The 27,940-nt window shown below is 40.3% G+C and overlaps 1 long non-coding RNA gene across 6 annotated transcripts; it reads right to left on the bottom strand.

Annotated features, from left to right (window-relative positions):
* Nucleotides 1–270: 270 nt before the first annotated feature.
* On the bottom strand, nt 271–27,485 carry LOC105377039 (uncharacterized). Of its 6 annotated transcripts, XR_007095873.1 has the most exons (9): nt 27,229–27,485; nt 26,667–26,766; nt 25,520–25,676; nt 22,288–22,637; nt 20,312–20,380; nt 17,405–17,499; nt 14,630–14,809; nt 1,003–3,262; nt 271–914 (listed from the first exon to the last, which is right to left on the bottom strand). It is a non-coding gene; the product is annotated as an uncharacterized LOC105377039 (long non-coding RNA). The 6 variants fall into 6 exon arrangements; XR_940753.2 differs by lacking the exon at nt 27,229–27,485 and having other exon boundaries at nt 26,667–26,934; XR_007095874.1 differs by lacking the exons at nt 26,667–26,766; nt 27,229–27,485 and adding an exon at nt 26,557–26,608.
* Between the last annotated feature and the right edge of the window lie 455 nt (nt 27,486–27,940).

The following is a 27,940-nucleotide window of genomic DNA, read 5'->3' as shown; positions in this document are numbered from 1 at the left end:
TGTGAGTAGCAAAGACAGTAAGACGGACACAGTGGTTGGAGTAAATCAGCTGAAAAGTTTACCACAACTCACCTATTTTCCTACATGTGCCTCCCGACTGGTACATAGTAAGCCACATGTAAACACTGGAATTCATTTCTGTCCAGATCCAGTGAAGATTTCAGCTTTTTCAACTGGATGCCAGGCCAACAGGATAAATGTTTGAATATAGAATGTCAAAGGGTACTTTCAACATGGGCCCCATAGGGGCTGCATCATGACATGATTGGGTGCTGGGTTCAAAGTTTATTTGGCATTATGCAGATGTTTGCAAAGCTGACTTAGTCAATCCACTTCTTTACAGACTCTCAGAATCAAAGTCCTAACATCTTACCTAAGTTATAAACACTTTAAAAGAAAGACAAATAAATACAGAATAGTTAAGTGATTCGAGCAAGGTCACAAATAAGGCAGGAAGTACAGATGGAAGCCCAGAGACAGAGGAATGAAAATGAGCCCCAGTTTCCTATTGGTAGGTAGTCCTTTGGGTTAGAAACAGGCCCACCTTTCTTCACCAGCGCTAATACTGACTGCTTTTTAATGTTCTCTGTGAAAGGTTTGGCATCTGAAGATGATTTTGGATAACAGTGTGTCTGGCACAGATGACCTAAAATACCATGTTCTCAATTCCCCCATCCTGAGCAGTCTCCAGCAAAATGTCATTGAATCCAACCATAGCATCACTTCATGACTCACAGGCAGCGCTTGTTTTTCCATTTTCTGCATGATCTTGACCACCGTAAGAGCATTAATGGATTCCTCCTTTATCAATAAGAGCTCTTTGACATTTGTGTGCACAAGGAACCGTACCACGTCTTCTTTTAAAATGCGAATCAGACAATTCATTTCTTAGCCAGAAGACTGATGAGTTTATACTAGCAAGAAAAGGACATGTCTCAGGAGGATTCTGGGTAGAATTAAAAGAGCATTAATCACAAGACTGAGGTGCCAGTCTGAACTCACCACTTCCTGGCTGCATGACCTTGGGCAAGTTGCTTAACTTGGCTGAATCCAAGATTTTTTCACATATAAAATATGTTGTAATCCTCTCCACCACCCTGTAAGATTGTTATTGATACAATGTATGTGGAATCATTTTGTACATGAGATTTATTATATGTTACTTATTTAAAAACTATCATTTTCAACCTGGAAAATGAGTTTATAAATGAAGATTCTATGCTATTTTGTGACATTTCTGGCGCATAAGTGGTGAAATAAAACTTTCACTCACTGCTTCCTTATCAGCCAAAAATGTATCTCGACCTCTTCCATGTCACTTAGCACTTGCTATGTATTATTAGTTATTTGCATAGATCTCCAATCTCCCCTGCTAGACTCTAAGTGCCCGAAGTTAAAGCTATGTCACATCCGTGATCTCTACAGGGTGCCTGGAACAATATCTTAATAAATTGTTGATATTCAATAATTATTTGTTGACTAAAAAGTAAGTGAAAAGAAAAATTTATAAGTTGGACCCCATCATAATTTAAAATGTTTGTTTTGTGAAAGACCCTATTAAGAAGACAAAAAGACAAATGACATTCTGGAAGAAAATATTTTCATATCATGTAACTGACAAAGGACTTGTATTTCCAATACACATGGAACTCTTTTTTAACTTTTAAGCTCAGGGGTACACGTTTGTTATATAGATAAACTTGTGTGATGGGGGTTTGTTATACAGATTACTTCATCACCCAGCTATTAAACCTAGTACCCATTAGTTATTTTTCCTGATCCTTTTCTTCCTCCCCTCTCTACCCTCCAGTAGGCCCCAGTGTATGTGGTCCCCCTCTCTTTGTCCATGTCTCCCCATCATTTAGCTTCCACTTATGAGAACATGCAGTACTTGGTTTTCTGTTCCTACATCGATTTGCTAAGGATAATGACCTCCAGCTCCATCCATGTTCCTGCAAAAGACATAATCTCTTTTTCATGGCTGCATAGTATTCCACGGTATATATGTACCACATTTTCTTTATCCAGTCCATCACTGATGGACATTTAGGTTGATTCCATGTTTTGGCTATTGTGAATAGTGTTGCAATGAACATATGAGTGCATGTGTCTTTATGATAGAACAATTTATATCCCTTGGGGTATGCACCCAGTAATGGAATTGCTGGGTTGAATGGTATTTCTGGTTTTAATTCTTTCAGGAATTGCTGCACCATCTTTCACAATAGTTGAACTAATTTACACTCCCAACAGTGTACAAGCATTCCACATAGGAAGTCTTAACATTCAACAGGAAACAAACCAATTAGAAAATGGGAGAAAAATGAAGAGATACTCCACCCAATCAATCCAATTAGAAAATATAGGAAAAAAATGAAGAGATATTTCACCAAATATTGCTGGGAAATAAGCACATGAAAAGATGTTCACTATCATTAGCCATTAAGTAAATCCAAATCAGAGTTATAATGAGATATCAATACACACCCACCTACCAAAATGTGTAAAAAAAAAAACAGTGACAACACCAAATGCTGGCAAGGAGGCAGAGAAATTGTGTCATTTATACATTGCTGGTGGGAAGGTAAAATGATGCAACCACTCCAGCATATAGTTTCACCATTTCTTTTAAAACTAAGATCAGACTAACCATACAATCCAGCAATTGAACCCTTGGACATCTATCCTAGAGAAATGAAAACTTCTATTCATGCAGAAGTTTGCACAAGAATGTTCATAGCAGCTTTATTCATAATGGAAAAACTAGAAACTACACAAAAGTAAATAGTTAAACTGAGGAATCTCCATACTGTGGAATACTACTCACATATAAGACAAACTATTGATAATACAACAACTTGGATGGATCTTAAGGGCATCGTGCTGTATTTTCAACAGGCAAACTAAGAAGCCTATATGCTATCTCGTTCCATTTATATAACATTCTTGAAATAATGACATTATGGAGATGGAAAGCAGACTAGTGGTTACCAGGTATTGGGTATGGGGGTGGGTGGAACAAGAAGCAGGTATGCCTATAAAAGACTAGACCGAGAGGTCCTGTGGTAATGTGTCCAGAATTGGTTCCTTCCGGTGGGTTCTTGGTCTCACTGACTTCAAGAATGAAGCCGCCGACCCTCGCAGTGAGTGTTACAGCTCTTAAAGAAGGTGTGTCCGGAGTTTATTCCTTCAGATGTGTCCAGAGTTTCTTCCTTCTGGTGGGTTCATGGTATCGCTTGACTTCAGAAGTGAAGCTGCAAACCTTCACAGGGAGTGTTACAGTTCATAAATGTAGTGCAGACCCAAAGAGTGAGCAGCAGCAAGATTTACTGTGAAGAGTGAAAGAACAAACCCTCACACCCAGCCGGTTGCTGCTGCTGGCTGTGGGGTAGCCAGCTTTTATTCCCTTATTTGGCCCCGCCCACATCCTGCTGATTGGTCCATTTTACAGAATGCTGATTGGTCCATTTTACAGAGTGCTGATTGGTCCATTTTACAAAGTGCTGATTGGTCTGTTTACAAACCTTCAGCTAGACACAGAGCGCTGATTGGTGCATTTACAATCCTTTAGCTAGACAGAAAAGTTATCCAAGTCCCCACCAGACCCAGAAGCCAAGCCAGCTTCACCTCTCAGTAACAGTACAGTTCCATCTCTTGATTGTGGTGGTAGTTACATGAAGCCACATATGTGATAAAATTGTGTAGAACTATATACACGCACATACTAGTGGGTGCATATGTAACTGTTGAAATCTGAATAAGCTCTGTGGCTTTTACCAATGTTAATTGCTTTGTTTTGATATTATATTATGGTTATGCAAGATGTTAACATTAGAGGAGGCTTGGTGAAAGTTTGCATGGGACCTTCCTGTACATTTTCGTGTAACTTCCTGTGAATCTTTAAGTATTTCATAATTTAAAAACGTTTTTAAAGGTGAATTAAAAATGAATACATTTCTCCACTTGAAATTGGAAGAGGTACATCCAGCGCCATAATAATATGGTATATTGTACATCTTATAATACTGTATTCAAGTCTATAGTTTGAAACTTCTTTATAGTGAGCAAGGTTTTCAACTAATATTTGTGAAAGAAGATAATTCTCACCCTGGCCTCATATCAACTACACATGCAGAAAGCATGTCATGCACAAAAATATCCAGGAATATTGTGACAACTATAATATAGTAAAGACTAGATATGAGATCTGTAAAAATTTTTGTCCTCAAGGTACAGAAAAGTTCCAGAGTGCAGAGTACACAGCAGGTCTGTGGCTTCTGATGTCCTCCTGGGCAGGTTGCCTTTCTGACTACCATATAAAGCCTAGATAAGATCTCTGAATATCAAATGGTTCTTTCTCTACCATCCTGCAAATATTAGGCAGATTTGGGCCTTATATAACCTCAACATGACATCCTGTCATGGCTTTTTTACACACAAATCTATTTCTGTTTTTTAATGAGGCTAGATAATTAAGTCAGCACTGACTAAAACATTCAATTTTGTCATACAAGTACACCACTTTGTATTGTCCACACAAAAAGAAATGGTTCCTGATGTTTATATTAGATGTTTCTCTGAGCTCATGCATTTATATCACTGCCTGTTTTAGGTTAGGTTCTTCAGGAACAGAGTCTGAGACAGGAATCTGGGGACATGTGAATTATTGAGTAGGTGCTTAAAGGAAAAATGAAGGGAGAGAAGCATAAAAAAAGGGGAAGTGGTCTGAAAAGGGATCAGCTTCAGCCTGAGCCCATGGGGAGCTTCAAAGGATGAATTATGCCACACAGTTATCCCCCTTTGAGGCAAGGGGCTGGCCTTTGTAATCCCAGTAAATCAGTCATGATCTACCTGCTGCCCCTGGTTGGAGCACATTCTCCCATGCAAGGTGGCTTCTGTTTAGCTGAAAGCAATTATCTGAAAGAGGCAGTCATGAGCCATTAGGTGCCAACACTTAGACCAGCTGGGAAAGGGGCACAACCCCAGGAAAGGGCATCTGGAACGGCACCAGCAGTGCCAACTACACTTTCCTCCCTAAATCCTTGTCACATAATAAAAGGATAAAAGTAAGAGTAAATGAGGAGCAGCACTGGAAGCCAGGGAGGGATGTCATATATACCCTGAGAATTGGAACAGCTTAAGATATATCAGCTTGACAAAACAGCCAGTAAAAAATGAGCAAAGGGTGTGACTAGTCCACACACAGAGGTAAAGCACAGGTAATCCACAAACTTAGAAAAGATGCTCAACCTTGCCAATAATGCACAAAGTGAAAATTAAAACACATTTTGTTAATTATAATTTTAAAAGGAAAGAAGATTGAAAATATTTACATTGGTAAAAATATGGGGAAATAAGTATTCTCAAATTCTATTGGTGGGAGATTTTTGGAGTTCTACTTAGTTTAAGACATACAAACTGTTTGAGCCATACATTGTATTTCTAGAACTCTGTGCTACCAAAATACTAGCACGAGGTACAAAAATGTTTGCACATGACCTTTTCTGCATAAATTATAATACTGAAAAATGCAAACACTTTCAAGTCTGAATTGGCAACAGGTTAAAATAAGGAATTCCATACAGTTACTAGAAAGGTGAATCTGTATGTACTAATATGCGGAAAGTTGACCATAGTCTAAAGTAAGTTGGCCAGGTTCAAGGTGGGAGTTGAGGGATGAATTATAAAATAGGATATACTATAGGCTTGTATTTGTGAGGAAAAAAGTACTTATATGTATAAAAACTACTTGTTCCCTTACAAAACAAAGTATTTTGCTTTGTTACTTATATATGCCTATATCTACATATATATCTATGTGGAACAAAACAAAACACTTAGCAGGGCATGGCATTCTTTCTTTTCTTAAGAAAATAGTGTTTCTATAAACAGAGTAAACAGACAACCTACAGAATGGAGAAAATATTTGCAAACTGCACAACTGACTAAGGTTTAATATCCAGAATCTATAGGGAACTAAAGAAAATTAACAAACAGAAAGGAAATAACCCTATTTAAAAGTGGGCAAAGTACATGAAGAGATACTTTTCATAAAAAGACACACACATGGCCAACAAACATATAAAGGCTCAGGCAGGGCATGGTGGCTCATGCCTGTAATCCCAGCACTTTGGGAGGCCGAGGCAGGCGGATCACTTGAGGTCAAAAGTTTAAGACCAACCTGGCCAACATGACGAAACCCCATCTCTACTAAAAGTACAAAAAGTAGCCAGGCATGGTGGTAAGTGCCTGTAATCCCAGCTACTTGGGAGGCTGAGACAAGGGAATTGCTGGAACCTTGGAGGTGGAGGTTGCAGTGAGCCGATATCACACCACTGCACTCCAGCCTGGGCGACAGAGTAAGACTCCATCACAAAAAAAAAAAAAAAAAAAAAAAAAAAAGAATGCTCAATCTCACTAATCATTAGAGAAATACAAATCAAAACTGCAGTGAGATATCATCTCATACCAGTGAGAATGCCTATTATTATAAAGTCAAAAAACAACAGATGCCGATGAGGTTTCAGAGAAAGGGGAATGTTTATACACTGCTGGCGGGAATGTAAATTAGTTCAGCCACTGTGGAAAGCAGTGTGGCAATTTCTCAAAGAACTTAAAACAGAAATACCATTTGACTCAGCAATCCTGCTATTGGGTATATACCCAAACAAATATAAATCATTCTACCATAAAGACACATGCACACATATGTTCATTGCAGCACTAGTCACTATAGCAAAGTCATGGAATCAACCTAAATGCCCATCAACAGTAGAAAGGATAAAGAAAATGTGGTACATATGCACCATGGAACACTACACAGCCATGAAACAGAATGAGATCATGTTATTTGCAGCAACATAGATGGAGCTGGAGGCCATCATCTTGAATGAACTAATGCAGGAACAGAAAACCAAATACCACATGTTCTCACTTATAAGTGGGAGCTAAACAATGAGCACACATGGGCATAAATAAGGGAACAACAGACACCTGGCATACTTGAGGGTGGGGAGGGTGGGGAGGGTGGGAGGACACTGAGGATCAAAAGACTACCTATCAAGTAGTATGCTGATTACCTGGGTGATGAAACAATCTATACACCAAACCCACATGATATGCAATTTAGCTATGTAACAAACTTGCACACGTACCCCTGAACCTAAAATAAAAGTTAAATAAAAAAAGAAAGAAAATGGTGTTCTCAGGAGGAACAGGGAAAGAAAGCTATCCCCAAACAAATCAGATTTTTCTCCAAGAGCTATGAGGAGACTTCTTTACTTGTTATTCTAGGTCAGGTGCTGAGAAGCAGAGCCTGAGACAGGGATTCACCAGCACAGGATTTATTGAGTAGATGCTCTCGGGAGAACGGGAATGATGGGAGCAGGATGAGGCAGGGGAAGGATCTGAGTGAGCAAGAATGTGGTCTCACTGGAAACTAGCCTCTGGATTGATACCATGGAGTTATTTCTCTGGAGTATGAATTTCACCATAGAACTAATTGCATCTTGAAGCAAGTGGGACCAGCCCTTAGCATTCTTATACCAGAGCAGGCTAGTAGCATTGTCTACATTTGGGGTGATCAGGATGAGATCCTCCTGAATGAAGTAGCTCCTGCTCCCCGAGAAGATAACTCTCCAAAGAAAGGGGCAACTGAGCATCATTAGCAACCAACACTCATAGCACCTGGGGTTGGGGGTGCCTGCCTGATGAAGGGGATCTGGGCAGATACCTTAAGGGAACATTAGTTATATAAAAAGCAAGGTGAGTACGCACTCACTGTATTTGGCTCTTGAGTCTTGGGGTAAAAAAGGCAAGAGGAATTCTCGTGAAACAAAACCTTTTTAATCAGATGGAGGCCATCTCTACCAGATTTGAAAGCTGGTCCGTAAAGAGGAGATGGTTCAATTTATATGAAGAGTGGGTAGATGCCCCAACCTTGCTACCTGAAATTTAAAGTTATGAAAACCAGTTGGTGAGGAGCAGAATGACTCCACTTAGTGTTCCTACTAGCACTTCTCTATGAATGAGGGCCATTTTACCCTCTGGCTGGATATATTAGAAGGTGGTGGGCTCAACTCAGGGGCATGCACTTGGCAAGTGGAGGATGAGCTGAATTTCAGCCTCCATTTGTCCTCCCAGCCAGACACCTGTATGCAGCAAACAGCTACACAACTGGACAGAGTGACCCTGACCAAATAAAGGTCCAGTGCAGAGAAGGGCAAGGAGATCACTAAAATAAAGTTACTTTGAGAAATGAGGAAGCTAAGCTTGTGAATAGGCTCCACATGAGGACTGAGGTGTTTGCAATTGGAGTGGGAAGAAAGAGAGGGAGCCCAGAACCCGAGAGTGTGGCTGCAAGTCTCCCAGGAACAGTGCTTAAGCATGGGAATGTGATCAAACAGAGCTGTGACCTTGGCCCTCAACACAGGGATCCACTGTGGTCCAGACCAGCAAGGGCTATCCAAACCACACAAGGCCAGTCTTCAACAGCCCCACCATGAAGCAGCAGATAAATAGGAAACATAGTTCAATGCATTCTGCTTGCTGTGTGAAAAAACAGGATGCACGCCACTGGACTAAGCTTCAAAAGGTAAACTCTGAATGTTCTTCTCTTCAGCAGTAATTAATTTTAAAAATAAAAATATGATCATATGTCTATCTTGAGTTGATAAAGCAGATCATTTTGGACTAAATAGAAATAAAAATAGAAATGTGGAGGGAAAATACTGTTTCTGGTAAGTATGGCATTTTTCTCTGAGTCTTTTTAGAACAATTAATATTTTATTATACAACTATTCCTTCCCTACTAAATATTGGCTTTTTAAAATCTTTGCTGCTTTCTTTAGTAAAGTTGATTCTATCTTGGAACGACAATGCAGAAATATAATCGAATCTTGTCATTCACTGACTAGGGTATCCAATAAGGGTCCCTGATGCTGCTGAGAGATTCTGATAATAAAAATATTATTTTACAGAAGGAAACATGATTACTGACTTACATAATCTTGATGTGTGACTCTCTCCTCTTACAATTTTTCTTACTATTAATCAGGTTCTTACAACAAAGCCTAGGCTTGGTTAATAACCTCTATAACCAAATAAGATTACAATGCTTCTCTGAATCCTGAACTGGTTGAGATCCGTGGCAGCTGACTCACCTACAGCTGTGCTGAGGATTAATAAAATTAGCAGGAATGCCCAGAAATTCAACCAGGGCCCTGCGTGTGAGTGTGCCTCTTTTTCATAACAATCCTCGAATCCTGTGGGAGACTTTAATTGTCATGATCTTATTCACTGGGTATTAGCAGTAAGTTTGCTATTAAAGAGGCAAAGTCAGGCATCACCAAAGAAAAAGTCAGATGAACCTGCCCGCTACCCCTCCACTCCTGATCCTCCACCCCTAGCTCTGCATTTTCCTTATTCCATTGCACTTATCACCCTTTAACACACTAAACTTTCTTACTCTGCTTACAATTTGTTGTGTGTCTTCCTCACTAGAATGTAAGCTGCATGAGGGCAGGGGTCTTTATGTTGCTCACTGATATCTCCAAGTGCTCTGGACAGAAGCTAGAACACAGGAAGTGCCCAATAAATACTTACTGAAGAAATGAAGACACCAGAGAAAATGCTCATCCACAAACATTTACAATTCAAACACATTCAGAGGCTTTCATGCACACTGAATATTCACATTTTGTTTAATCAGATGACCTGAATTTGTATGTATTTTAAAATTTCTTTGAGAGGTAAAGAATTTCTATGCTGGTTGCAATGATATTCCAGCTCATTAGTGATATTTCTCCTCTTGGTAACCCCTCCTTTACCACTACCACCGCCACCATTAAGAGAGAGCCAACAGGATTATGACAGTAGGAGAAAAAAAAAAAAGTGGATCTGGAACATAGTAATCCAAGAGTCAGGAAGAAAGGGATATAATGTGGAGGAAGCTTCTATTATACAGGAAGAAAAGAGAGAAGTATTCTTTCATTCAGGAGAGCAATAGAATAATTTGGAAGGAATGTGAGGAGAAAAAGACATTATTTGCTTCTTCCAAGGATCCACTGACGCTCTCTTGTATCCCAGAGGATTTAAACAGGAAATGTGGAAGGGTAGTGAGAAAATGGAAACAACGTAGCATTTGAAGCAACCACTGAAAACAGAGTGGGCTAGTAGCATTGAGACCCTGAGAGACTGAATATACAAATGATAATGGTCAGACCACCTATGACAAGAATTCTGACCCACAACCCCTGGAGCACTAAGCCCGGAATGGTCAATGACTGCCAGCTTCCCTATTTTTTGTCCCCCTCTTCCAATTCAGGACCAGGGAATGCCAAATATGCTACACTGATCAATCACTTAGGATGCCCACCGCCAGCTTCCCATGCCAGCAACCTCCAGAGAAATCTGAAGATTTCTCTTTCATCTATGACCTAGGGTATGGTTAATTCTCATAATTTTATTTTCCTCATCATCCACTTTGCATATAAGTTTTACTTTCTCATGTCAGAAGCAGGGCTCACTCACCCAAAACAGTTTCCAGTTCTATGCCACAGCAAAATGGCTCAAGCCAATGGCCAGAGATAAGACCGTAGAGGCATCTCTACCACCTAGCAGACTGGGCTTCTACTTTCCTGCAGCTTCCTTTAAAGAGAACTTTCAGGCATTTAACTGTAAACTCAAAGTAACCCACACACCCTATTCCCTTATACATGCTAATAGTTGTTACATATTTCTCTCTCTCTCTCTCTCTCTCTCTCTCTCTCTGCGTGACTCTTCATACCTGCCTCGTGTGACCCCAGGTACAGAGAGAGGACTACCCTCCCAACTCATTGCACCCACCCCGCCCAGGATCTGTAAGTAAAAAAAAAACCTTTGAACTTGTTTCCTGTTGTGGCAGTGTATTGAATTTGTTACCTTCCATCTGAAGAACTAGGGGCTGTCCTAGTTAGGGTTTTCCCGGAATGCCAAAGAGATCACAAGATTGGGTTCCCAATGCCAGAGCGATGGTCAGGCGGGCATAAACTGGGTCAGATAGGAGCCACAAGGGCGTTTGCCAGTATAAACAAGTTCCCCATGTGAGGGACCTCTGGTCACAGGTTGGATAACTAGGCATTAGGGCATCCTGTGAAAAGCCCACTGTAAACGTCCAGCTCCCCTTCATTTCCCGTTAGGACAGGGCTGCTAGACACTCTGATACTGGAACAACAATTGAGCTGGGAACTTTCAAAACACAGTGATGAAAAAGAATGGCCTGATTCCACCAAGGATGCCAAACAAATGGGAACTAATAATAAAATCCAGGCACCAAACTGAGAATAAATAGCTGAGGAATTCAACAACACAGAGGATGGAGTTCTTTTTTTATCCCTTTTTACTCTCTTTGGTGCTTCTGTTTTATGTAGGGTTGTCTAAAAGTGTTGTCTGTCATATAAAGGCAAATCACAAGGTAGAACACTGGCATAGACCCTACAAGCCTATTGTTAGAGCCGGTTTCACAGACCAATGAGTTTGTAGTTCTCACCAAACCAGTCCCCATGTGGACAAAGTATTTTGCCAAGTCACCAATAAAACTGGATGAGGTTCTCCTTCCATCATTTTTGTTGTTGTTGTTCTGAGAGCCTAGCTTTGATCCAGAGAGAATGTTCTCCTTGGTGCATGTTCTCTTTGATTTTCTGCCTGTGTATAGGTGCTGACCATCAGGTCTGCGTTCAGAGGCAGCCAAGCAACAGGTGGGAGTCTCAGATGCAAAGTACATAAGCATTGCTTTCAACTGACTGTTGCCTGCTCTTGTGAGTCATTTAAGTCTAAATCCTTTCTTCCTTCAGAAGAAACTCCTGCTGTATAATTCTTTTATTTCTTTCTCTAAGTGGTATAACTTCACCAATGATAATTTGGGCCTTGAATGGCCACTATAAGGGACATTTGACTTGAACAAAATTGTTTATTTGAGAAATGCCTTAGAAAAGAAAGAGAATAGTATTTATCAGGCTCCATGGGCAACACTTTTTGATTGGTATGTAGAGACTTCTAAATGAAATTCTGATTTGAAAATTGTTTTACTAAAGCATTCTTTGGCCAAAAGTAATAAACAACATTACAAATGTAAGCAATGAAAAAACTATCAATAGACTCATTTCCCTGGTAAATCTTCTCCCTCCTTGTCCTCCAGTTGCCTCCCTGTATCTAGCTCTCCCTTTTCCTTCTTATCTTTCTGATCTCTCTCCTTTTACCCTTATTTCAACTCTCCCTTCTTCTTCCCCCTTTCAAGACCCCAAAATGCAATTTGCTTCTAAAGATCCATCCCATCCCTGAGCCAGGTGTGTAAGCAATTGCATAAGTTAAACCTCAGATACAAGCTGAACTAAGAGCTATGTTTCAGGATTTCCTTAAGCACAGACAAGGACAAGGATTATTCACAGAAGGATTCAGACTTCCTTTGGGTGCATATGTGTCAGAGTGGAACAGCTGAACTATATCAGTTTGTACATTTGTTGGTCAAACCCTCAGCTAAATACTAAATCCTGAATGACAATAGCTAATTGAATTGACCAAGAAAGGGATCTACAGAATCCCTCTTTCCACAATAAATGTGTGAGTCAAAAAAGGCCCTAAAACCAGAGCAAAGTCTCCTAAATGCCATACCTAAAACATTTCTCAATAAAAACAGATTGAACCATAATTCCATCATGTAAACACACAAAAAAATAAAACTATAGAAGTTTATGGCCATACGGCCTACTTCCCAAGGGACACATTTATCCCCCTATGATATGGTAACTGGAAGACCCTGAATTTAGACTTGGGATTTGCTTACTTGGTCTAGTTTGGGCAATTTGGATTTCTGGTTTCAAAGTATCTTATAGGGACTCCTAATTGTTCTTGTTTTTGTCACAGTGAACAGGATACTAGTCTGTTGTAGTTTGTCCAGATTCTAAAATGCTATTCTGTAGCTGCTGTCTCATCAAGATGATTGCCATGATGATACAACAAGATGCCCACAAAATCTTGCAATACAGTTGACCATGGAGACAACTGAACAGTCTCTGAGCAGTGAAAATCTGAATCTCTAGCCTTTTCTGAATTTTTCAGGTTCTTACAAATGAAAGAATAACCAGGAGGGAAATCAAGACACTGAATTTACAAATGGACAATGGCCAGACCATATATGACGACAGAACTCTGACCCACAAACTCTACAGGAACTACCCAGGTAGCCAAACCACAACTTCTGCAGCAATCTGCCTGGAACAACTTGCACCTGATTAATGACTGCCAACTTCTCTACTTTTTGCCCCTGTTTTCAACTAAGAGCTAATTATGGAAAGCCAAATATGATTCCCAAACCAATCTCATGGGATGTCCCACTTCTAGTTAGCCTACCTACAGTTTCCCCATGCCAATCAGGGTACATCTGAAGTCTTCCCTTTTTTCCGCCATAAAGCTTTCCTACCCCCCTACCTGTCTTGTCATGTTTGCCAAATGCAAATGCTAGTGGCTGACTCCCTAGCTATCACAAGCTCTGAGTAGCCTCTTCTCATTCTCATTTAGGTGGTCTTCATTTAATTCCACATCCTACTTGGAACTTTGGAAGGAGGTAGCCTTACTTAGTTTCCCTGTGGCAACATGGAGAAACTGCCACCAAGTAAGAATAAAATTGTGGCATATATACAGTGAGAAAGAATAGGTGATGGTACCCTGATACTCCCTTTTCTTTTACACAGCATAGAAGGAATCCATAAGTCCCCTATAGTCTCTGTGAAAGAATGTGGAAGGGACTGAGAATTGAGAGCCAGCAAGCCTACAGGGACCACTGTTGGGAGGGACTAGGCAATGTTTCCATAGGGGATGTGAAGTGGTTTCTCTGGGCCAGGATGTGGAATTTGGCTAAGACTCAGAGGTTCTGCCAAATTATTAATAGCTAAAGTGGCCTTAGGTCATCAGAAGAGTCTCCAAGTCCTTACCATACCAAAAACACTTCATGGATTAGGTTTTGCTTTGTAACAAGCCAAATTTAGCAACCCTTCCTCTAATAAATATGTCCAAACAAAGATACAAATCATTTTCTTATGTCTTCAGAGGACACCTGAAGTAAGGCTTGGATGTTAAAAATAATCACTGAAGGCTGGGGGGAATGGAAATAATATAGAGAGTATTATTATTTGAGACTAATGTTTCCAAACTTTGTTCCACAGAACAATAACTTGGGGAGCTATTAGAAGATACTCCATGAGAAAGGTGTTTTGTGGTTGAAAGAAGTTGAGAAACAGTATGTACCGTATTCACTCCATAGAGACTAAAATGTGTGTAAGCGTAATGAAGGCTCTGAGAAGTCCTGCAACAGACTTGTCTAACTTTATCTAACTCAGTGATTCTTAATCTTACGAAAGCAAAGTCCTCTTCATTTTAGTGCACAACCCATATTTTATAGGCAATCATACCCTGAAATATCAATTAGCTCATTTAAATTGTATTCCACCCCTTATGAAAGGGACCTCATAAGGCAAAGAGCTTGCTGGAGTCTCTCCATTCTTGCTTCTATACGTTAGATACTGTCCCAAAAGCCCAAGGTGAATTTCTCCATGAATAGACAAAGAGAAGAAGGTCAAAGCCTTCTCCTGCCTACCTGGGCTCTGCATTCCCAGTTCTGCTTGCCTCGCTGAAGAGCCATTCCTTTCTAGATGAAGTAATACCTAAAATGTCCTTCCTCACAAGATAGGAGAGAGAGAAAAGTTTTTGAGTGGGAACTCTGGAGTCTGATTCCACTGCATCTCCATTTACATTCTCTGTGTCCCAATTTCTTTATCTGTAAAATAGATAAAACCAGTAGTTACCACCCCATAGGGTATTGTGAGCATTACATGAGTTAAAGCATAAGAAATACTTAGAACAGGGCCCAGCATATAGGGTGTACTCTATAGATGTCAGTAATTATTTACTTTAGCTTAGATCTGACAGCCCTCAAAAGAATATCCCCATCAGACTGAAAAGTGGATACCAAAATTTATACAAGAAAAATACATCATGAGGATTTAGGGAAATTTTTTTCTGGTAGCAAAATATTTTGTTAGCATTACTTTCTCTGTGGTGGTACAAAACCCTCTTAATACATTTTGCATGTTTATATTTTATTATTATAATTTCAGAAGCAACATATTCTAATGCTGGGAGCCTGGAAAATAAAAGGAAGCAAGAGAGAGAAAAATGCACTCAAAATTGTCTGCCTTTGGGGACTCAACTGGTAATATTTTGTGATATATGTGTGTATACACACACACATACACATTAGGAAAATAATGACATGATATATCTGTAGAAATACTTTCTACCTAGCAAAATAGTATGTATGCTTTCCCATTTCAATTGATATTCCTTAGAAATATTATTTTATCAGCTGCAGATTATTCCTGTATCTGTATGTGGATGTATCATAATCCATTTTTTGATTCCTGAGTGTTTGCTCACAGAGATTATTCAATTAATCACCAATCATAAAACCAGCATTTTTACAGAAGGTATATACACAATCTTCACCTGCTGGAAAGTTACTCACTAGCTCTTTTCACTGGATTGCCCACTCATACACAATGCCTACAACTTAGTCTTCATTATTTTTGAGGATAAGTGAATTCAAGTCAAGCACATCCACAAGTCAGACAAGTCAGCCTGAGGAAATCAAAAGGCTAGGAGACAGAGTTTATTGAATAATATTAAAGGAAATAGTATTCTTTGAACATTGCCAATTTTCTCTGTATTTATTATTCAAGCATTTAACAAGATCTTTCTTCATTTTTGTGCTTGATGCCCTTCTACTTTCCACAAAATGGAAGTATTTACTATAACGTGTATTGTTCCATATTATGTAACAGCATAAAATTGACCAGCACATCTGTATTAGTTCCTTCTCACACTGCTATGAAGAAATACCTGTGACTGGGTAACTTATAAAGAAAAGAGGTTTAATTGACTCACAGTTCCTCATGGCTGGGGAGGCCTCAGGGAACTTACAATTATGGCAGAAGATACCTCATCACAGGGCAGCAGGAGAAAGAATGAGTGCCAAGCGAAGGGGGATGCCCCTTATAAAACCATCAGATTTCATGAGACCTCACTCACTATCATGAGAACAGCATGGGGGGACTGCCCCAATGATCTAATCCCCTCCCATGAGGTCCCTCCTACAACATGTGGGGATTGAAATTCAGATTACAATTCAAGGTGAGATGTGGGTGGGGTCACAGATCCAGACCATATTAACATCCTTCCTTCATTTCAGGAGAAAGAAGATCTGGTATGCATCAAGGATAAAATATTGTAAGAAAAAAGTTATCTAGAAATCTCAACACTAAAGTATCAAAAATGCCAAATTTATCTTAAATAGACTTTTTTCCTAATGATCTTTCATATTTCAAATCATGCAAATAGAACAATCAACGGATGACTGGCCCTGGTATCTATGGTGATGACAGCATCTACAGAGCAATGGACAACCAACCAATTAAAAACATCACACGAGCTGAATTCTCACATGAGAGGCAGTGAGATGCAGAGCATACTGTGTGGGGCAGTCATTATTTTTTCACCTGTTGGGAATCATCACTTTCTCATAACACACCCCATCACCCCAGCTCCTGGGAAGGACCCAGGTGCAGCCATCACAGCATCTAACACCCAGGTTAGAGTGACTGCTTCAGTCACAGTAAAGTGACTACTCTCAAGAGGTAACCTGAGAAATTAGGTTTACGATTTAGTTCAGGAATATTCATTGAACCACTGAGAAAGAGTAGCTACTGGTAAAATTTTTGTTCTATTTGCCACAAATAGAATAAAAGCTGAATCTGCTTACAGTAATCTTGCCTGAGAACAAAGGTAAATGATGTGTAAGAAATCTCTGCAAATCATTTAGTTCATGATTTTGCAGGATGCCAATATGAGCATAGCACACGTGAATGGTTTTCCTGATCTTGTCTGGACTCACTTCATACATCTGTGGGCAGCCCCCTAGATTAGCTGGGCCTGGCTGGTCTAGGATGGCTTGTCTGACTTCCATGGAATCTCTTCTTATCCAGCAGACAAGTCCAGGCTTATTCACACAGCAGAAGCATGGTTCCAAAAAAGTGAGTGGAAGCGTGCAAGGCCTCTTGAGGCCCAGGCTCAGAACTGTCATGGTGTCAGTTTCTCCACATTCTGTTAGTTGAAACAGGTCACAAAGCCAGCCCTGATTTAAAGGGGTAGGGAAATAGACCCCATCTCCATATGGGAGGAGCTGCAAAGTCACATTGCATGGAGGTCTAGATATAGGAAAGGAAATAATTTTGGTCATTTTTTAATAAATAATCTACCATAGTCCATTTTCTGGCTACAATTATTCATGTCCCTCCTACATGCAAAATACACTTACTTCTTCCTGAGACTTCCGTTTATCTGGATCAGAGTCCAGGACTTTTGGACCTGCATTCTGCCATACGAGGTTTCCCACGATTAGAGACCTATGAACTAAAAAAACAAGTTATGTGCCCTCAATGTACCCAACAAACAAGTGTGAGACTGGGACAGGATAGCCACAAGAGACTTCCCCATTCAAAATATGCTGTCAATGGAAATTCATGCTATGAAAAAACCTTGCACATTTTACAGAGCACAGGAATTCATCACAGAGCAAAAGATGCTGCAGAAGTGCAGGCTGAACAGAAAAGTTGCAGCAGGAGGCTGTGGATGGCACTAAGGCATTTTTAAAGTAGCTCTCATGTTTCTAGTTTCTGCAGATGCTGACATAACAAATTCTGATTCTAAGTTACTTGGCCAGATTCCTTTCTACATGTCAACAAGGATTTTCTGGTAAATAAAACATTCATGCATTTTTTTATTAGCACTTGATGCTTTTTTTTGAAGTTGTTGCCATTTTAAAGTGATAAGTATATACCCCAAATCCTGATATTCTGTATAATATTTGATGAGTGAAAGGTTTATTTTGTGTTTTATCATTAAACCTTTAGAGTTTTCCATAATATGTTTTTCTTTTCTGTTTTCCGCTAAGTCTGGATGGCTTTGGTCAATGTAAGCTGATAGCTACTTAATATACCCCTTGATTGAGTCCTAGGGCATATTTTTATTAAATAAAGGTTTTCTAAAGCATAGGTAGCTTTTAAAAACTTGTAAAACTTATTGTTGAAGGATAATATAAGATAAAATGTATACATATCATATGTGTACAGCTTGATAAATTTTATAATTGAATACACATGTAATAAGCACACAGATCAAAAAACAGAATATTACCAGCTCCTAGAATCTTCTTTGTGCCCACTTTCTACCATTATTCCTCTAGGGTAGGGTTTCTCAGCCCAGCACCACTGACATTTTGGGTTGGACAATTATTTGCTGTGGAGGGCTGTCCTGTGCATTGTTGGATGTTTAGCAGCATTCCTGGCCTCTACCCACTGGCTACCAGTAGCAGTCCTATCAATGGTACAACAAAAATCTCTCTCCAGATAAAGAGATAGGCCCAATATTTCCTGGAAAAAAAGTCATCCCCAGTTGAGGACCACTGCCTGTAGGGTAACCACTGTTATGATTTCTAATAGCATAGATCAATTTAGCCTGTTTTTATATTTTGTACAAATGAACTCATACAATATACTCTCTTGCACATGGCTTTATTCTCTTAACATTTCATTTGTGAGATTCATTCATTATTTTTGTGTGTAGTCATAGACTGATCATTCTTGTTGCTGTATGGTACTCCATCGCATGACCATACTGCAATTTATTCACTCAACTATTGAAGGCCATTTTGGTAATTGCCAGTTTTTGACTAATATATAGTCTGAAAACTTATTTATTTCTGATCACACCTTATATCCCAAACTACATACCATATGTTACTTCTAAACAAAAATTTTTTTTGAGTCAGGGCATCTAAATTTTGGGAGTTTTGTTAATCTGAAATCACATGTTAGACATTATATGTAAACTATTTTTATGGTAATTTCATAAGAAACCCACAATGAGTCCACTGATCCTGAGGACGAAGTTGGGAGGGGGAAGAGAAGAGGAATCCATATTCAGTGCAACCAATATTCATTGAACACCTGATTTCCAGGCACTTTGTGGCTCTGGAAGTGTAAAAATAAAGAAGACAAGTTCTGTACCTTGAAGAAGTTTCTAGTTCCCTTCTTGTAATGGCTTGCCAAACTTTCTCTTCTTGGCTGATAAAATCTTTAGAAAGTTGCCTCTGATAAGAAGATCCAGGCAGATCTTCTACGCCAGAAGGAGTGTGAGATGAGCAGCTAGAGCTGCACCTGCTCTAGGTATTTGTCAAGAAAGATAAAAGTAGGAGTCCTAGACTTATAGCCCATCTCACCAAGGTAAGGAAATAGGAAAGAATTTAGAGCAGAAACCTTGGCCAGGATAGGCAGGTACAAACTTCAGGAAGAAATATCCCCTGTCCTCAAGAGCCTAATCACAGTAGAGACTGGATGCGGCATGAGAGGAAAGATAACAGACACAGCCCACAGGAAACCAGCTAACAGAGAGGACTAAAATGCTTAGTGATGTGCCAGAGATCTTTATAACTAAGTCTCAAAAGTTCATTTATATTCATAACACACATCCTACTAGACAAAGGAGAATGTGAGCCTAGAGAAACGATGACTCTGCTGGGCTTCTGTTTTTTAAAAAATATAGGTCCTCGATAAGTATCAAGCATATTGGGTAGCTGTCTTTTTAGAAGAAGAGTTTTATTACCAGTATTTTGTGAAGCATCTTTGTCTCTTATCTTTGCTACTCAAATATTTCATTAACTGCAACTTTAGTACAATAGAAAACAAAGGCCAATGTAACCAGTATCAGCCTTCTTATTCATCACTCTAAAGCTTCTGAGACTTTCACTTCTTTTCCTCAATTTATATTTGTTCATTATTACTACACACTCTTGAAATTCAGTACTATTTAATTGAATAAACCAAATGATTATGTTGTGAGTTTTTAAATTAACTTTTGATTAAAGTTGCCTTTTCATTATCAACTTATAAATATATAACATAATAAGGAATTGCAATTCTATATGAGAAGGTTTCTGAATTTTCTCTTAAGTGAATCAGTAGGAATTAAAGGGATATTTTAATTTTCTATTACCATGTGCGTATTCATTATTTAATAGATCATTGCATAAAACCTTAGTTCCAAGGAAATTTTAGATAATATTTGAAAAAAATGATGTTTCAATGACTTTACTAGGCAATCCTTTAAACACCGGGACTAATTCATTAGAAAAGCAACAGGCAAAGCAAAACAAATCAAAACTTACTCAGCTTTTTAATGGTCTTGTTCTTGTGCAGGCAGGAATATGCCCATCCACCCCTGTACTCTTCTCCTACTGCCAATTAACCAATTACAGAACAATGAAACACTGAGTCATTGAATTTTAGGTCCTTAATATTTAAAAACAAACCTTTTACTTTTGTTTTTTGTCCAGCAGGAAAATCCCACAAGAACACATTTTTCACTGTATTTATTCATCACATGCTAAAATAACCCAGAACAAATGTACAAGACTTTCCATTGAACTACTTGTGCCTTCCCATTAATCTGTCTCAAAAACATTTTCACTGCAAAGGATTTGTAATAGGTTATCACATGATAACAAATATTTTTCTCTTTAAAATTCTTGCTTACTTATTTGTGAGCTCCAATATTATGAGTTAGCATTTTAATAAGTATGCTTATTGTTTAAAGAAAACGTGCATCTTTTTGTAAAGCAAAATATGTATGTTTTTTAAAACATTATCTGCACATATATATGTGTGTCTGTGTGTGCACATATATTCTTACATATATATACAATATATACTATGATTAATTTTATGTGTCAACTTGACTGGGCCACACGATGCCCAGACATTTGGCCAAACATTGTTCTGGTTGTTTCTTTGAGGGTATTTTTGGGTAAAATTAACATTTGAATTGGTAGACTGAGTAAACCAGAGTGCTCTCCCTAATGTGGGTGGGCCTCATCCAATCAGTTGCAGGCCCAAATAAAACAAAAGGGCTGATCCTCCCCTGAGTAAGAGAATTTTTCCTGCCTGATAGCCTTCACACTAGGACATCAGCTTTTTTTCCTGCCTTAGGACTTTGACTGAAATATCAGCTCTTCCTGGGCCTTAAGCCTGCTGGTCCAGTGTACCATCTGGTCTCTTGGTTCTCAGGCCTTTGGACTTGGACTGGAGCTAAACCATTGACTCTTCTGGGTCTCCAGCTTGCTGATTCAACCTACAGATCTTGGGACTTGTCAGCCTTCACAATCTCGTGGGCCAATTTCTTACAATAAATATCTTAGTATATATTAGCCCATTTCTCTGGAGAACTCTGACAAATACACATGTGTATATACATACATACAGTACCAAATGATAGTTAAGAGCACAGGAACTCTGCAGCCAGTCTGCTTAAGTTTAAATCCCAGACCCAAACAGTAACAAAAGCAAGTTACTTAACCATTGAGAGCCTCCGATTCCTTACTCTAAAATCAGAATAATACTCGTATCTATTTTGTAGGGTTGTTATAAGGGTTAAATGAGCTTTACCCAGAGATCAGAGCAGCATCCAGCCTATGGCAAACACAACACAAATCTCTGCCTGTAATTACTCTATATGTGTATGTATTTGTGTTTGTGTAGTGCAGGTGTAAATATTGTCTTTTGTGTCTCTATTACACACATTTGGATTTTTGTGTGCCAGGTTTTTCTTAATGTGGGAGATGTGCATACACTTATAAACGGTCAGAAAATTACTTAACTCTACATCTTCAGGTTAAATAAATCTAACTTTTGACTTTTGCCTCATATATTTTATATTTTAAACTCTTCAAATCTTTTCATACATTTTTTTCTTAAATCTCCCTAAATTTTTCCCATCTCTAGAGCTGTAAACCCCAAAGTGTTATAATTTGGACATGAGCACACAGCTGTGAAGCCCTCCATAGGGCTGTGTGTTCTTCAAAGGCTGAGACCAGCCCCAGTGCCCAGGTCTCATTCCCAAGTGCCTAGTATTAGACTGCCCAGAATGTGTGCTCTACCCTGCTTATAGACCAGTGGTTTGCTCCCTGACTGCATATTAAAATAACCAGGAGAGCTTTTTAAGAAACAGAAAGGCCTAGGCTCATTCAGAGCAATTAAATTAGAGTCCCTGGGGATGTGGCTGGACACTGCTATTTCTTAAAAGCTTCCATGTGAGTCCGAAGTGCAGTCATGATTAACAACTAGTGCCAGATAGAGAGGACATTACCATCAAACATTGAGGGATGTGATCTGAGCCAAAGCCCCTGCTCCAGATTTCTGTATAATGACCCAGCTGCAGGAGAGGAGCCAGCGGTATGCATTCCTCAGTGAATGTAGGAAGCAGCAGCTTCCCAGCTCTTTCTCGGAGGTCCTAGGACAGCTTCTTGAGGACGTGGTCCCTGCCTTGTCACCAGTACCTCCGGAAAAACATATCTACATAGTGAAACTAGAAATTGTGTTTTAGAGAAACTGCTGTCAAACTTGACTTCTGTTGCCACACAAATGATGGAAGATATTCACATGCATGACACCGCTCTGCTCTGATACCCTTGTGATATTAAGTTCCCAGCCGTAATTCTATTTGAGGAAGCATATTAAAAAGTGAGTTAGTGACAGTGACATTATTATAAGAGCAATCAATTTGGTCTATAATTAAAGTAATAATTTGCAAACTTAGGTAATTTAGTTAATGTTCATTTACTCAGCAAATATTTATTGAATGTCTGCTCTTTTCAACGACTGTTCTGGGTGCTGGGCAGGCAGTAGTTAAAATAAAAAGATAAATTTATTGCTATTGTGGAAATTACATTTTGGAGTAATTACATTTTAGTGAGGAGACAGACAATAAACCAACAGATGAATAAACAAATGCATGTGTATGGGGGGCGAATTATGGCTAAATATCATAAAGAAAAGGAGAAGGTGAGAGAGAAAGTCAGGATAGACCTCTTGAGGGGGTGATATTTGAATACAGAGATAATTTAAGAAAATGAGAAAGCAAGTCTTCTGGGTATCTGGGAAGAGTGGTTTAAGCAATTGCAAAGACTTGGGGAGATAGCCAGATGTGTGTGTTCAAAGAACATCAAGTGGGCCAAAGTGACGGGGATGAGAAAGGAAGGCAAGAGTGGTAGGGAGGAGGTGAGTCAGAGGGGCAGCATGGGGACCAAGAGTCTGTAGGGCCTTGAGGGACTCTGTGAAGTCTTTAGATTTAATTCTCAGTGCAACAGGAAGCAATGGGAGAGTTTTGAGCTAGGGAATGCTCAAACTAACTCTGTGAAAGATGGCTCAGAGTACTGGTAGAGTACGTACTGTAGTAGAGGGATGAGGGAGGCAGGATGGCTGTCAGGTGGCTGGTATAGCAGTCCAGAGGAGACATTGGAGACCTCCACAGAGCTGTTGCAGAGGAAGTGGAGAGAAGTAGCAATAATTTGGGTATGTTTTGAAAGTAGAATTATAGGGATTTTCTGATGGATTAAAAGTGGGGTATGAAAGAAAGAGGATTTTTGTGGAGATGGTGATGTTGTACATTGAGATGGAGAGCATTAGGAAAAGAGGGTGTTGAAGTGAAAATCAAGAATTCGGTTTTGGATACAGTAAGTTTGAGGTGCATACTAGATATTTAAGTAAAGATATTGAGCAGACACTGGTTACATGAATTACAATTAAAAGGAGAGGTTGAGCCTGACATTATCAATTTGAAAGCCGTCATTGTGGTATGAAATTACATATTTATCTATTTTTTGTATCTTTCTCCCCCTGAAAATGTAACTTTCAAGAGGACAGAAGACTAATTTGTTTTGTTCTTTAACAGCTGTTTAAACATTGGTTGGAACATAGAAAGTGCCCAAGAAATGCTGAATGAATGAAAAATTAAATGTTAGTTCAAGCCAGTATAAACATAAATAAAAAAGAGGCTGTCATAAGTGCTAAAGGCTGGCACGGTACAAGAGTTGAGTGATCACCCTGTGCTTCAGTGGTCAAGGAAATAGTCTTGGAGAAGACTGTCCATTATTAGATATCAAAGAATGGGTAAAAGGAGTTAGAATAGGTGTCGGATTTGGGGGAAAATGCTGGATTTGACGTAGGATATACTGAACTTGATGTGACAATAGAACATTTGAATTCAGTAAAAAGACATTTAAGTTATTAATAGGTTTATAAATAGTTTGAGATCTGCAATTGCAAAGGACAGACACTGGCACTCCTCCTTTCTGAAAATAGAACCCACAAAGCTACATTAGGACATTGGACTCTAAATGTGTAACAGGAAAGTAAATAGGAAGATTGAGACACCAAGAAACAGTTGAAAGGACTTCAAAAGCAGGGCTTCTCAAAATGTAATGTGCATGCGAATCACCTGGAGAGCTCCCTAAAATGCAGATTTTGATTTTGTAGGTCTGGGCTGGGGCCTGAGCTTTTCTAACAAGCTCCCAGGTGATGCCAATGCTGCCCATCCCGGGCCCACATTTTGATTAGCCAGGTACTCAAGTGAGGTGTTAAACAAAAATGAAAAATTTTCCAAGAAAATAACCAAAAACCAGTTATGTGTCAGGTTTCACTATACCCCTCATTGACCTTGAGAATAAAAAAGAATTGGGTTGTGGGGCATCAGAGGAAACTTATTTAGACAAGACTTATTTGTAGAAAGCTGCTAGTGGGATGGAAGTAGAGGTGCAATGTATAAGGTGTATTCCCTTCATCTCAAGTCAAGAGAGAGAACGTCAGGGGGACTCCAATAGCATAAGTACCATCTACAATGGGAGAAACAAAGTGGATTGAGGTATGACAGGGAATACAAAGGGTGAGACCCAGGCTGGTCAACTGTCCTCTGACAAGTTGAAGCAGCTGCTTAGTAATCACCCTGTTCACCCAATTTATCAGGGCAAATAAAATGTAACAGGTCAGAAAACAGGTTAGTAGGCAGGAGGAGAGATAGAAGGGAAAGACTGCAGGAAGCTCTAACTTAGGAAGGTAGAGAAAATTTACCTTTAAATCAAGTTTGGAGTCTAGATTATTATATGGAACTAGGATAATAATTTCTGAATTAAAATTCTATGGTTTATTTTTAAATGACCATAGGATCTTTTATTACCTATCAGTGATCATAAAGTAATTTACTGAGTAAGTCTTCATCCAAGGACACAGAAGATTTCTCCCACTGAGAAAACTTTAAAGAGACAGTAGGAAACAAAGGAAAATTGGTTTATGGTTATGCCCATAAGTTCTGCTCATTCCATATTTTTGTGATAAGTGGATTCAAGGGAGAGGAAGAAAGTCAGCCTTGGATCTGCATATCAGCTACAATATGCCCTTCAATAATTTTCTCATTCAGTTCCTTTGTCTGACACCACAAAGCAAAATAAGATTATTTTCTAGGTGCTAATCCTCTCAGAAATCTTGGACAACCCATTGCTGCTAACACTGCCCCTGTAGATTAGCCCCACTGTGTCTGTGCTCACACTGTGCGCAGTTCAGAGCTTGCCCTTTTGTAAGAGACTTGCTAGTTCACTTCGCTTTGGACAGACAACTGCAGTGAAAGAAACTGCCACTCCCAGGTCTCACTGCAGCCACAACACTATCAGACATTTTCATATCCTGTGCACGTCAGAGGAAGGGCTGTCAAAAGACAAAAAAAAAATTATATCAAATTTAGTTAAACATCTTAATTAGCTTTTGTGATTTATAATCGGACAACACCTCATTCTTTAAAATAGAATGAGTGTTCCATAGAGCTAAGCAGAGGAGGTTGGCTTTATAGAAAGAATAAGGGCTGGGGAAAGCAGAAACAGAGAACAGAATGTGGATTGTTCTTTTCAGTTGCTTTCCTTGTAAAGATTAAAGCAGAGAGGACCTCCTTAATCCTAGCTAAAATTAACTTGTTTGGGGATTTGGCTATTTAATTTTTTTTCCCTTGAGATAGCGGATGGAGCTGCCTGCCAAGTCCTGTGCCGAGCGCCTGCACTCCTCAGTCCTTGGGTGGTCAATGGGACCTGGTGCTGCGGAGCAGGGGCGGCTCTCGTCAGGGAGGCTTGGCCGCTGGGAGCCCACCGCGGGTGGACTCAGGCAAGGCGGGCTGCAGGTCCCTAGCCCTGCCCGGCGGGGAGGCGGCTGAGGCGCTGCGAGAATTCGAGCGTGGGGCAGGCAGGCCGGCAGTGCTGGGGTACCCGGCGCCCCCTCCGCAGCTGCTGGCCCGGGTGCTAAGCCCCTCACTGCCAGGGCCCAGCCACGCTGGCCAGCTGCTCCGAGTGCCACTGAGCCCACTCCCACTCGGAACACATGCTGGCCTGCCATCGCTGTGCGCAGCCCCAGTTCCCGCCTGCGGCCTCTCCCTCCACACCTCCCTGCAAGCAGAGGGAGCCGGCTCCGGCCTCGGCCAGCCCAGAGAGGGGCCCCCACAGCGCAGTGGAGGGCTGAAGGGCTCCTCAAGCATGGCCAGACCGGACGCCGAGGCAGAGAAGGCGCTGAGAGTGAGCGAGGGCTGCCAGCACGTTGTCACCTCTCACTTCCACTTCTCCATCACCCACAGTCACCCTCAGGTTTCATGCCTGGTACGTAACAAAATCATCTCTGTAAGGAGTGTAAGTGCTCTGTTGAGCCAATAACTACCTGTGTTCTATTAGAACTCCATCTTCGCAGTTTCCATGGGCGTGGATGACAATGCAAGGTGCACCACTGCTCCAAGCCATGCACCAAGCCAGCATTTGTCCTGTTAAAAAATTTTATAGGAGGTCATTGGTTTGGACTGAGCTCCTGCAATGAGGCCAACACACCAGACCAACATGGAATTACTCATGCTGAAGTTCCACACCACCAAGTGAAATCAAGTTGTTTGGCCAGGCACCGTGGCTCACGCCTGTAATCCCAGCACTTTGGGAGGCCGAGGCGGGTGGATCACGAGGTCAGGAGATCGAGACCATCCTGGCTAACACGGTGAAACCCCGCCTCTCCTAAAAATACAAAAAGAAATTAGCCGGGAGTGGTGGTGGGCACTTGTAGTCCCAGCTACTCGGGAGGCTGAGGTAGGAGAATCGCTTGAACCCAGGAGGTGGAGGTTGCAGTGAGCTGAAATCGCGCCACTGCACTCCAGCCTGGGCAACAGAGCGAGACTCCGTCTCAAAAAACAAAAACAAAAAAAACACAAAAAAAGAAATCAAGTTGTTTATCTGACCTTCTGAGAAATCAGAGGAGAGAAAGGTAACAGTCAAATTTGCTGAGCATGGTGGTGCATGTCTGTAATCTTAGCTACTTGAGACATCATGGTGAGAGGATTGTTTGAGTTCAGGAGTTTGAGACCAGCCTGAACAACAACGTTGTGAGACGTTGCGGGATCCACTAGCAGAAGCCCGCTCGGCTCCTGAGTCCGGTGGGGACTTGGAGAACTTTTATGTCTAGCCGGAGGATTGTATATGCACCAATCAGCACTCTGTGTCTAGCTCGGGGTTCGTGGATGCACCAATCAGCACTCTGTATCTAGCTAATCTGGTGGGGACTTGGGAGAACTTTTATGTCTAAAGGATTGTAAATGCACCAATCAGCACTGTGTGTCTAGCTCAAGGTTTGTAAATGCACCAATCAGTGCTCTGTGTCTAGCTCATCTAGTGGGGACTTGGAGAACTTTTATGTCTAGTTAAAGGATTGTAAATGCACCAATCAGCACCCTGTCAAAACGGACCAATCAGCTCTCTGTAAAGCGGACCAATCAGCTCTCCATAAAATAGACCAATCAGCAGGATGTGGGTGGGGTCAGATAAGGGAATAGAAGCAGACTGCCCAAGTCAGCAGAACACTTTGCTCTGGTACGGTTCTGCAGTGTGGAAGTTTTGTTTTTTTGATCTTTGTAATAAATCTTGCTGGTGCTAGTTCTTTGGGTTTGCACTGCC

Source organism: Homo sapiens, chromosome 3, assembly GCF_000001405.40.
Source record: "Homo sapiens chromosome 3, GRCh38.p14 Primary Assembly".
NCBI classification, from domain to species: Eukaryota; Metazoa; Chordata; class Mammalia; order Primates; family Hominidae; genus Homo; species Homo sapiens.
This window is presented reverse-complemented; position numbering and strand designations above follow the sequence as displayed.